Consider the following 13,102-nt stretch of genomic DNA (forward strand, 5'->3'; position numbering starts at 1 on the left):
CCAGACGTGAGAAAGTGATGGAGAAAATGTTAATGATGCAGCTTAAACTTGAGATGTTTTGACTGTAGCTGTGACATTGTGAATAGCACAAATAATTGAGCAAATAATCTTCCAGTATTTGAAAACTATTATCAGATTCAGCAATAAAGTCATTCATATGGTTGATAAATGAGTGAAGTTCTCGCATACATTCTGTTGTTTTACTTTCGTCTTACTTATTAAAGCAAATAAAAATATCAAACAATGTTCCTGTTGGAAGTATGCTTGTTCATCAGTTGCAAACACTAGGTTGGCTACAGATGTAAGAGTTTAGCAAAGATCCATAAAAACATTCTTTGAAAGTCAATTTGTCTACATGGAATTTTCAGTAAAGAGCACTATTTCTTATTATTTGAAAATTGTGTGCTAGCCACCTTTATATCAGTTAAAGCTCATGTATTTGTATGTGCATGTATTTTTTTCCCCTGGAACTGGTTATTAAATGTTTCCCAGTGGAACACTGGCTTTAGGCCTCCTTTTATACTTCCTCAGGAAAGCTTTGACTCTTTTCTTGATAATCTCTGGGGAAAGGGACTTGAAGGAAAATGTTTGCTCTGTAGGTTCATGGCAGGAAAACCTTTAGACATGATCTTAGCAAATATTCTGAGCCCCACTCCTTCTGTATCACCTACCTATAGCCATGCAGTTCCTTCAGAGGCTCCTAATTTGGGTATTTACTGCCCAGATTTTTGCATTTCTTTACCTTGGGACTTTGCTCCCACCTACCCACCTGAAAACCAAGGTCTTCTTCATGTTCCAGGTGTTTCTTATGTGCTCAGGAGAAAGCACTGGCTATAGAGAAGAGGGCCTGGGTTGCAATGGGGAGAATATAAGGGAATTTGATTAGAGATTTAGGTAGTCTGAAGAAGTGTTGGCTAGGGGAAGGTTGGGAGTTTGTGACGGGAAGAGGCACGCATTGATGCTGGGTGTTCATTGGAGTTGGGTCGTGCTTAGGTGTGTGGAGAAAAACTGCTGTTTTGAAAGGGTATACAAGTTGAGCATCTTTAATCCGAAAATCCAAAATGCTCCAAAATCCAAAACTTTTTGAGTGCTGACATGACATCACAAGTGGTGAATTCCACACATAAATACTTAACACAAACTTTGTTTCAAGCACAAAATAATTTAAAATGTTGTTTAAAATTACTTTCAGGCTATATATATATGAAACATAAATGAATTTTGTGTTTAGACCTGGGTCCCATTCCCAAGATATCTTATTATGTATATGAAAATATTCCAAAATTAAAAAAAATTAAAATCTGAAACACTTCTGGTCCCAAGCATATCAGATAAGGGATACTCAACCTGTATACAACTAGTGCCCTTACCTTCTGTACAGCCCCTGTAGAGAATATTTAGCCCGTACTAGGAACTAGATAATATTTATTTGTGACAATGGTGGAAATCCTTAAGGGTGATCTTTGTTGTGGTTACTTCTCAAAAGTTTGTCAAGTTTTAATTTATTTTTGACCTTTCATAACAGGATTGACAATTGCCAAACGCATCCAGATTTCTGATTTACCTCAATTAGTTGCTGCTTTTCACAGTTTAGTGGGTTTGGCAGCTGTACTTACTTGCATAGCTGAGTACATTATAGAATATCCACATTTTGCTACGGATGCAGCAGCAAATCTCACCAAGATTGTGGCCTACCTCGGCACTTACATTGGTGGCGTCACCTTTAGTGGGTCTCTCATTGCCTATGGAAAATTGCAGGGTAAGTGATTCAGCATAACATAGAGGTAAATATCTACTGTTTAGGGCATTTAGGGATCCATTTTAATTTCAGAAAATACATTAACAGGGCTGGGCGCAATGGCTCATGCCTGCAATCCAGCACTTTGGGAGGCTGAGGTGGGAGGCTCTCAAGCCCAGGAGTTCAAGACCAGCCTGGGCAACATAGCGAGACCCTATCTCTACTTTTTATAAAAAATAAAATATTACTACTAATAAAAAAGATTAAAAAAAATGCCTTAACAGTAAAACTGTTAGGTGAAGAGTATTCGTATAGCACTCAGAAATTGTAAGAGTTTTTTTCCCCTCATCCTTCCCCTTTATTGATACTTAGTAAGTCTCATAAAGCTTTGAAGCTGTTTCATTTGCAGACAGCTAATGGAGGAAATTAGTGAACAGAAATTTGCATGGAGGGACTAGTTGACTTTTGATAATATATGTGAACTAAACAGCATCCTCATAATCCTTGGTTAGAGATGACTGTGTAGAATTCACAGAAATGAACTTTATGTATTTTCTTACAACACATTCTGAATTGTAACTACTATGTGCTTGGCTCTAGGTCTCCTGAAATCTGCCCCTCTCCTACTGCCTGGAAGGCACTTACTCAATGCAGGCTTACTGGCTGCTAGTGTGGGCGGGATAATCCCATTCATGGTGGACCCAAGCTTTACTACTGGCATCACCTGTCTGGGTTCAGTGTCTGCTCTCTCTGCTGTCATGGTAAGAAGTCAGAGATTGAAAAGTACATATTTGGTGAAGAACTGGGAATATTTTGTTAGATTAAAGTGTAATCATATTTTTATCTCTTCAAGAACCTTGATGGAATAAAAATGTTTTAAAATTACGTCACATGTGCATCTTTTTAGAATCTGGAAAACATAGAAGAGTGTAGGAAGAACATTATTCTTTCTTGCAACTTAATTGTTCATTTTAAAGTTGTCACATGAGACACCTTTATTGCTCTGGAGTCTTTTCACCGGATCAATGTGTTGGTGAACAGGAGCTTAAAAAGGCCAAGGGTTTCAATGTATTAGGTGCCTACTATATGACAAGCCCTACAAAATAGTGCTTCGGGGTTTATACAATACAAGTAAGATAGTCTCTGCCCACCAGTTGCTCTTACATCATTGGAAGATATGACACGAAATCAAATAAGTATAAAATGAAATGCAGTTAAAAAACCCTGTATGCTCAGTGAGAGTATTCAGTGAAGGCTTTTATGATAGGTTTGGCTTTCTTCTTTCTCTGCAATTTTTATATTTAGTGTATTGAAACACACAGTAGTTTTTAGTTGTCTATGTGACAGTCTGGCATCTTATATCAATGTATGATGCTGTTTTATGCAGCGCTATTTACTGTTATTCACTGTTACTCATGTTCTTTCAGTGTGTAATCCGTAGACAAGGTTTATATTTAAGTTAAAAAAATTATCTACAGTAACTAACACAAAGTTAGACACATAGCAATTGCTTATGAAATACTTACTGGCTCCTTGATTGAGAAACACCTAATTTATAGTGTAAAAATGATACTTATTTTTGTGTGATCATGGCAGTTAGGTCATGATTTTAACACAGAAATTTTAGAACACTGAAAAGTAAATTAAAATCTCATCTTTATATTCACACTCATGGTCTAATTTTATTCTGGCTTATTGCACTGGTTTTTGTTTTAAACAAAAGAAAAATAATTTTGATATTTTTAATCTAATAAAGCAGAATAGGTTGATGAAGTCTCAAAATAAAAGATATACAAATGTGATTGGGTGAGGTGGCTCATGACTGTAATCCCAGCACTTTGGGAGGCCGAGGTGGGTGGATCACCTGAGGTCAGGAGTTTGTGACTAGCCTGGCCAGCATGGTGAAACCCCGTCTCTACTAAAAATACAAAAATAAGCCGGGTGTGGTAGTCTGCGCCTGTATTCCCAGCTGCTCGGGAGACTGAGGCAGGAGAATCGCTTGAACCTGGGAGGCGGAGGTTGCAGTGAGCCGAGATCATGCTATTGCACTCCAGCCTGGGTGACAAAGCAAGACTCTGTCTCAAAAAAAAAGAAAGAAAAAAAGATATACAAATCTAAAACTTTAAGAATTGTTGTTTTTGGGAAGCAGTGACTATGATATTTAAAGGATTTATTGGTTCTATGAGAATGTCTGACTAAGACAAAGTATTTTTTGAATTTATTTTATTGCTTTTGGCTTAAATGAGTAATACATGAATATGCTCTCATTGTAACAAACAAAAAAAGGTAAAAACATGTGAAATAAAAAGCAAAAAGCTTTTTCCTTTCATGTGTTTAGTAATTTCGAGTTGTATCACGGACATTGTTAATGATACATTATAGACATTTTGGATGTTATGTTATATTCCTTCAAAGGGTATTGATTATTATTATTTATTTATGTGTTTTTGTAGCCAGCTAACTTGGCTAAACTCAAATTCCAAATTTTGACTCCCTTATGGTGGGTGGTGGGGGGCAGCTGAAATCTATTGTTATTTTATCCTTAACAGGATTGCTTGGAGTCTGTCTCACATATGTGTAGTTCAAGAGTCATCCAGAGATTTGAGTAGAATTTATAAACAGAAACTGGGACTCCTTCCCTCTAGCCTGCTTCTTTGTGGGATTCCCCTTATTACTTTCCAGCTGCCTTAGTCATCTCAAATGCTATCTTCAGGATCTTCAAGTCAGTAAGACTGTGGGCTTATATTTTATAATTTCCTTAACTGGTACCAACAGGGGATTGCCCTCAGTCTAAAGCCATAAAAACTGGGAAATTCACTTAGTGTCATTGTATTTTTCCAAATGTAGACGCTTCTCCAGTTTCTGCCTGCTTTTCATCACTGAAAAGTGTTTTTTTAAAATGTAGGGATTTTTTTTTAGGGGGGTGGGTGGCTCAGTGTTTATAGTTGTTATACCTGTGGAAGTGTTGGTCAGATGGGAGACACTTATTACCGGAAGTGGAACTTATATGTAAATATATTAATGGGAAAACTAGAATAATTAAGGAGCAAAATGTTAAATGTCAGAGGTTTTATTTTTATGTTATTAATTTTGAGTTCTGATTTGATTGTTGTTCTAGGGTGTGACTTTGACAGCTGCTATTGGGGGTGCTGACATGCCCGTCGTTATCACTGTGCTGAACAGCTACTCAGGCTGGGCCCTGTGTGCAGAGGGCTTCCTGCTCAACAACAATCTGCTGACCATCGTGGGTGCACTCATAGGCTCGTCTGGTGCTATCCTGTCATACATCATGTGTGTGGTAAGAAACAACACATACATGAAACAAAAGGAAATGGCTTCCTGAAAACATGGATGTGCATGTCATTTCTTTTATTACCCATAAAAATGAATATTGTAGGCTGGGCATGGTAGCTCACACCTGTAATCCCAGCACTTTAGGAGGCCAAGGCAGGTGGATCACGAGCTCAGGAGTTCAAGACCAGCCTGCCCAAGATAGTAAAACCCTGTCTCTACTAAAAATACAAAAATTAGCCAGGCGTGGTGGTGGGTGCCTGTAATCCCAGCTACTTGGTAGGCTGAGGCAGAGAATTGCTTGAACCCAGGAGGCAGAGGTTGCAGTGACTGAGATCATGCCACTGTACTCCAGCCTGGGTGACATAGCGAGACTCCATCTCAAAAGAAAAAAAAAAGAGTATGGTAGCTTTGAATTCTCTTCAGCAGACATAGCAGAGTATTTCATTTGCATAAATTTCCAAGACTGCCTTTAAGGTACCCAACTGTAAATAATTAGGAAAATTAAATAGAAAGATGAAAATCTTCTAGTGCCTCTCTCCATCTGGAGATAAACAGGTAAGATTTTGGTTTATTTCCTTATGTATGGCATATCTGTGTATTTACTTGTCTGATCGTGTTGTATATTGTCCTACATTTAAAAAAACTTATATACTATATTGTTGACTTTTTGTCATTAAAAATTCTTTTAAAATATTATTTTAAGAGACTTTATCGTGATCCATCATATGGATATACAAAATTTATTTAATTTGCCCTTAATGCTATACATATGAAGTTGTTTGATTTTGATTTCTCTTTGTACATATCTTTGACATTTCAGATTTTTGTCTTAAGATAGATTCCTAGAATTTATAGGCTCATTATACTTATAGCCATGTTTCTGGAAAGGTTGTTCTAATTTACACTCCTGTTGGTCATCTGTGAGAGTTTCTACCTTAGAAGTTTTGTGGTCAGCATGATGGTTTTTTAAAAGAACAGAAAAAAGTAACAACACTAATACTTCCTAGCTTTTCTGTTTGTTTCAAGTTCTCTTCTTGATGGCAAGAAGATGTTCTGCAAATATTATAATTAAAGGTTTGAGTAGAACTTTTTTTTTCAAATTATGGATGTTATTTTCTAAATAATAATGAAACTAAATGAAAGCAGAACGTGATTTTACACTGATAAATAATTTAGACAAGAAAGGGATCTGTATTAGTCCATTCTCACACTGCTGTAAAGAACTACCTCAGACTGGGTAATTTATGAAGTAAAGAGGTTTAATTGACTCACAGCTCCACAGGCTTAACAGGAAGCATGACTGTGAGGCCACAGGAAGCTTACAATCATGGCAGAAGGTGAATGGGAAGCAAGCACATCTTACCATAGCGGAGAAGGGGAGAGAGTGAAGGGGGATGTGCCACACACTTTTAAAGCACCAGATCTCGTGAGAACTCACTAGCATAAGAACAGCAAGGCGGAAGTCAGCCCCCATAATCCATCACCTTCCACCAGGTCCCCCCGTGGCATGTGGGGATTACAATTCGACATGAGATTTGGGTAGGGACTCAGAGCCAAACCATATCAGATACTTACTCTACCTTCATTCTTTTATTATAATATTTTAAAAAACTCGCTTATTTTACAACTCAGGATTTTTCTTATGATTTAACTGAAAATCTCATTGTAATTTGGAAGGCTGAAGTATCTTTTCATAGTAAAAAATATTTTTGTTTCTTAGGCTATATTGCAAAACAAAGGATTTGATAGCCCAAATTCAAAACAAGCTAAGGGGTTTTAAAATTAAATAGCCTAAATTACCTGGGGAATTTGGAAAGGTGAAGGTTTATGTATCCTATTTGAAAAGTGTCAGGCTTTGTGACAGAAAGAAGAAACATTTGTGAAGAAGAAATGTTTATGAAATTGTACTAGAAATACAGTTTTCTGTAAAAGTAAACTTTTAACCCTTAGTTTGATTTTGCTTCAGTTGATGAATTTGAATGACCAGCAGGGGGCAGCAGATTTTCATTATTACTTAAACTTGCGGTTTGTCAGAAAGTGGCTTTTATTTATTTATTTATTTATTTATTTATTTTTATTATACTTTAAGTTTTAGGGTACATGTGCACATTGTGCAGGTTAGTTACATATGTATACATGTGCTATGCTGGTGCGCTGCACCCACTAACTCGTCATCTAGCATTAGGTATATCTCCCAATGCTATCCCTCCCCCCTCCCCCCACCCCACCACAGTCCCCAGAGTGTGATATTCCCCTTCCTGTGTCCATGTGATCTCATTGTTCAATTCCCACCTATGAGTGAGAACATTCGGTGTTTGGTTTTTTGTTCTTGTGATAGTTTACTGAGAATGATGATTTCCAATTTCATCCATGTCCCTACGAAGGACATGAACTCATCATTTTTTATGGCTGCATAGTATTCCATGGTGTATATGTGCCACATTTTCTTAATCCAGTCTATCATTGGTGGACATTTGGGTTGGTTCCAAGTCTTTGCTATTGTGAATAGTGCCGCAATAAACATATGTGTGCATGTGTCTTTATAGCAGCATGATTTATAATCCTGTGGGTATATACCCCAGTAATGGGATGGCTGGGTCAAATGGTATTTCTAGTTCTAGATCCCTGAGGAATCAGAAAGTGGCTTTTAAAGTTAAATGGGAGGATTTGAAGGATTTGAATGTTAACAAAGCCTATGGCATGCTGATATGGGGAGAGGAGGGAAGAAGACTTGTTTCTAGTTCTTGAAATGTCAGCATGGGTAATTTCTCATTTTATCCTTTTTTAAAAATGGTTTTCTTTAGGTTTTTAAATTTATAAAGAGTATTCCCCACATTTCTGTCTGTGTCTCTCTTATTACTCTCTTTTTCCTTCTTCACTTAGTGTCTTTTATTATTATTAGTTATAGCAACCATAGTAAGTCTTACAGTAACTCTTCTGTAACACTAGAATAAGGTAGTAAGAGGTACTTGTTGAAAGTACTCTCTTCTACGTGTTCTGCAATTATATCATCTTTCTCTTATTTTTCTTACTCTTTTATTTTTTTGATATGTTTTCTCTAGGTCTTCTATTTCTTTTCTTTCCATTTCACTGCCACAGGCATGCCACTTACCATCAGCATTCCATAGATATTTTGTACTCCTATTCTGTATATAGAACTACCAAATTATTCCGATAGCTGCCTGAGACCATAAATATCATATTGGGTCAGATTAATAATTCGGATTCAAGAACAGTTTAAGTTTTAATTAAAAAAAAAATTCTGGCCAGGCGCCGTGGCTCATGCCTGTAATTCTAGCACTTTGGGAGGCTAAGGCAGGTGGATCAATTGAGTCCAGGAGTTCAAGACCAACCTGGGCAACATGATAAAACCCTGTCTCTACAAAAAATATAAAAGTTAGCTGGGCATGGTGGCACATGCCTATAGTCCCAGCTACTTGGGGGGCTGAGGCAGGAGGATGACCTGAACCTGGGGAGGTTGAGGCTGCAATGAGCTGTGATTGTACCACTGGACTGCAGCCTAGGAGACAGAGTGAGACCCTGTCTCAAAAAAAAAAAAAAAAATTCCAATTAGTTAAAGATGTTTAATGTAGGAAATTTGGAAGAATCAGAAAAGGATAAATAAAAAAATAAAATCACCTAAACTTCCATTACCACTTAACTATTAACATTCTAGTCTTTTTTATATGAATGTTTAAATACATTCTATTTAATATATTATGTAATTGTCTAACCTTAATTTTAATTAAGGTTTAATTAATGTTTAATTTTCTAATAATTTTTAGCTCCTAGTATTATAGCAAACAGATATTACCATAGTCTATTTATTCAAATTCATATTAGTTGTTTTTAACTTTCTTTTTTTCTTGGTTGCAGTTTTCCTTCTTCTACATCCTTGATTATTTCCTTAGGTCCAGTTTTTATAAGTGCAATTACATGGTCAAAGGGAGTAAGAACTTTTTGTTGGCTTTTGATATTACTAAATTGATCTTCACAAAGGATTCACCAGTCAAAGCTCTTACTTGTGATGTGCAATGTGTTTGTCTTACTGTATGATCTCTACTCCTAGGCATTGTTACAAAACAAGTCAGAAACCAACAAATACAAGCCTGTCATATTTTTCGATTTTGAAGATGGAAATTATCTTTTCTTCTACAATTTTCTGATTTCTCACTTTTTACATTAACCTTCGTTGATAAACCTTCTTTATGCTTCTTTATTATAGGAAATTATAGGAGATTTATTCAGTTTCTTCATGGCTGTGCTTAGCGGCTCTAGGTAGATCGGTATAATCATAAAAATGAAATAGCTACTTAAAATTGGCCATTAGTGCAACGTAGCAGGCATTATGCTGGGTGCTTTACAAAATATAGCTCATTTAATCCCCGCACAAATTCTGGAGGTAGGAAATATTATTCTCATTTTACTGAGAAAGTATTGTAAGGCACCATTTATTATTCACCTTTGTGTTTGTGGAGTTTGGCCAAGTACCTGGCACATTCACACAAATTGGTTTGTTAAATGAACATTAGAGAAATATTTTATTTGTTAACTTATTTCATGTTTTAGAATCTTCTCCAGATAGACTATGATAGCAGATATAGCAGAGTTAATATGGTACCAGTATGTTGACCTTCACTCTTATTTATTGAAGGAAACACACAAGTCCAAACTAGAACAGGGTGATTTTATTATGTGTGAGGGAATGGAATGCACCCCAAGTGGCTAACCAGCAATCCCTAAAATTGAATTTTTGTTCTGTTGGGTGTCCTCTGAGCTCAGTGCTATGGTTACACAATACCCAAGATTATAAAAACTGAAAAATGTTGTCAGTGTCCAAACAACCAATTCAAATGAATGATATCCAAATATCATATAGACATTAACCTCTTTATGATTTTACAGTTTCTTTGTTTGTGATAGTATCCAGATTGCCTCAGAAATAGAGGTCTTACAAAAATTGAACAGCATTTTCAGATCGAATTTTCTGATTTTTGCACTTTGCTGCTTGGTTCCAAATAAAAATAGAACAGAATGAAGTGGATCAAAAGCCAAATCAAAAATATTTTTTCCTTTGTGATTAATTAATTAGTATCTACAAAGCATTGAAATGAGAGATGCTAGTAAATGGTATATATGTTATTATTGCTTTGGCTTTGTCAGTTTTATGACCTTTCTTTGGCTTTCAGATTTATTTCTTACAGTGTATTCAGAATTATGTGAATTAGGATTCTCTTTAATGTAGAATGCAATTTTAATTATTGGCTTAATAGCTTAAAATGAACAGTCTTAAACAGTCTTGCAAATTCTTTGTCTTGGAAGCTGGGAACTGTTCAATCTCTGGAACAGTGGTCATAGGATAGTCTCATTAATCATTTAAGCCGGCAAAAAAAGAAAAAAGAAAAAAAGAGAAAGAACCAAAACAAAACCATAAATGCTAAACATTTGTTGAGAATGTGATGTTGCAATGGTAAATTTAGAGATAAAAATAATTTCGTTTTTAAGAGACCACATGGAATTGTTATAGCTTAATGGTGATGTAATTGTGGATACATGTTTAACAAGTTGACTATGATGGTTAAACTACTGTGTGGTTCCTTTTTTTTCTCCCTAAGATGCCATCAGAAGTGGGTACCCATTAATTAAATGTCCTCAGAGATTCTTTCCTTCTTCTTCATTCAGTTTTATAGGAGGAAATAATGGTTCCTTTTAAGCCGAGTTAGAATAAAATGGTTTATTTATCCCTCTCCTCTGTCCCTCTACATCTGTACAGCGGTACATCTACTGCTGTGATCTTCTGCAGGACTGTGTAATAAGGGTGATGAAACCTCTTTGTTCACTGGATTTTTTTTTCTGGTATTTTATTTATTTATTTATTATTATTATTATTATTATTTTTTAGTATTTATTGATCATTCTTGGGTGTTTCTCGGAGAGGGGGATTTGGCAGGGTCATAGGACAATAGTGGAGGGAAGGTCAGCAGATAAACATGTGAACAAAGGTCTCTGGTTTTCCTAGGCAGAGGGCCCTGCCGCCTTCCACAGTGTTTGTGTCCCTGGGTACTTGAGATTAGGGAGTGGTGATGACTCTTAACGAGCATGCTGCCTTCAAGCATCTGTTTAACAAAGCACATCTTGCACCGCCCTTAATCCATTTAACCCTTAGTGGACACAGCACATGTTTCAGAAAGCACCGGGTTGGGGGCAAGGTCATAGATTTACAGCATCCCAAGGCAGAAGAATTTTTCTTAGTACAGAACAAAATGGAGTCTCCTATGTCTACTTCTTCCTATATAGACACAGTAACAATCTGATCTCTCTTTTCCCCACATTTCCCCCTTTTCTATTCGACAAAACCGCCATCGTCATCATGGCCCGTTCTCAAGGAGCTGTTGGGTACACCTCCCAGACGGGGTGGTGGCCGGGCAGAGGGGCTCACTTCCCAGACGGGGCAGCCAGGCAGAGGCGCACCCCACCTCCTGGACGGGGTGGCTGGCCGGGCAGGGGCTGCCCCCCATCTCCTGGACGGGGCGGCTGCCGGGCGGAGATGCTCCTCACTTCCCGGACGGGGTGGCGGCGGGGCAAAGACGCTCCTCAGTTCCCAGACGGGGTCGCGCCCCGGCAGAGGCGCTCTTCACATCTCAGACGGGGCAGCGGGGCAGAGGCGCTCCCCACATCCCAGACGATGGGCGGCCGGGCAGAGACGCTCCTCACTTCCTAGACCGGATGACGGCCGGGAAGAGGCGCTCCTCACTTCCCGGACTGGGCGGCCGGGCAGAGGGGCTCCTCACATCCCAGACGATGGGCGGCCAGGCAGAGACACTCCTCACTTCCTAGACGGGGTGGTGGCAGGGCAGAGGCTGCAATCTCGGCACTTTGGGAGGCCAAGGCAGGCGGCTGGGAGGGGGAGGTTGTAGCCAGCCGAGAGCATGCCACTGCACTCCAGCCTGGGCAACATTGAGCACTGAGTGAGCGAGACTCCGTCTGCAACCCCGGCACCTTGGGAGGCCGAGGCTGTCAGATCACTTGCGGTCAGGAGCTGGAGACCAGCCCGGCCAACACGGCGAAACCCCGTCTCCACCAAAAAATACGAAAACCAGTCAGGCGTGGCAGCGCGCGCCTGCAATCCCAGGCACTCAGCAGCCTGAGGCAGGAGAATCAGGCAGGGAGGTTGCAGTGAGCCGAGATGGCGACAGTACAGTCCAGCCTCAGCTCGGCATCAGGGGGAGACCGAGCAGAGAGGGAGGGGGAGGGGGAGGGAGAGAAGGAGAGGGAGAGGGAGATCTATTTTTTTTTTTCCTGCCTCAGGTTTATTTGTACAAATAGCACAGGAGGACCCCAGCCCCATGCAGATGGTAGCCCAGGGACGGGGGTGGGGGGTCGCACCAGTCCTTCTGTCCTCACGTTGGCAGAGATATCTACTCTGAAGGCTTTGTAGGGGCCTCGGTACCTTTGGGAGCCTGAGCTGGAACTGAAGCTGGAGCTGCAGCCTGGGCCTTGGTTTGATCCTTGGCCTTGGCCTTTGGCCAGCACAGCCTGGGCCCCTTGGCAATACAGGCACAAACACGCTTCCCAAGCTTGGGGTGGGCAATGTAGGCAAGTGGATCGAGCTTGCGGCTGACACCCTTTGGGATCTTGGGCTTAACCTCCTTGGGCTTTACGAGGGCCTTGATAGCCTGGGCACGTGCACTCATGGCCTTGGCATTGTTGGCCTGCATCTTCTTTAGGCCCTTCTTGTTGTGCTTCTTGGCAAAGTGCATGTTCCTCAGGAACTTGGGGTCCACCCCCTTAAGAGATTCGTATCTTTGTGATCGGGGTTTCTTGATACCATTTCTGTGCCATTTTCGGGACTGGTTGTGTGTAGTGTGGTTCTTGGACTTGGCCATGTCTGCACCTTAAGCTGCCGGTCCCGAAGTGCCTAGAACCCTATTTTTTATTATTATACTTTAAGTTCTAGGGTACATGTGCACAACGTGCAGGTTTGTTACATATGTATACATGCGCCATGTTGGTGTGCTGCACCCATTAACTATTTACATTAGGTATATCTCCTAATGCTATCCCTCCCCA

General features: G+C 39.4%; 1 protein-coding gene and 1 pseudogene across 8 annotated transcripts in view; one reads left to right on the forward strand and one right to left on the reverse strand.

The window, feature by feature from the left end:
* The window catches only part of NNT (nicotinamide nucleotide transhydrogenase), a 104,722-nt gene that overhangs the window by 51,640 nt on the left and 39,980 nt on the right, over positions 1-13,102 (forward strand). For all 8 annotated transcript variants that reach the window (NM_012343.4, XM_005248274.6, XM_017009293.3 and 5 more), the window contains 3 exons: positions 1,526-1,759; positions 2,339-2,499; positions 4,857-5,036. In NM_012343.4, the coding sequence (NP_036475.3) occupies positions 1,526-1,759; positions 2,339-2,499; positions 4,857-5,036 (575 nt within the window). The remainder of the gene's footprint in view (positions 1-1,525; positions 1,760-2,338; positions 2,500-4,856; positions 5,037-13,102) is intronic.
* Positions 12,330-12,958, reverse strand: RPL29P12 (ribosomal protein L29 pseudogene 12; annotated as a pseudogene).

The sequence above is a fragment of the Homo sapiens genome, chromosome 5, assembly GCF_000001405.40.
Source record: "Homo sapiens chromosome 5, GRCh38.p14 Primary Assembly".
Lineage (NCBI taxonomy): Eukaryota > Metazoa > Chordata > Mammalia > Primates > Hominidae > Homo > Homo sapiens.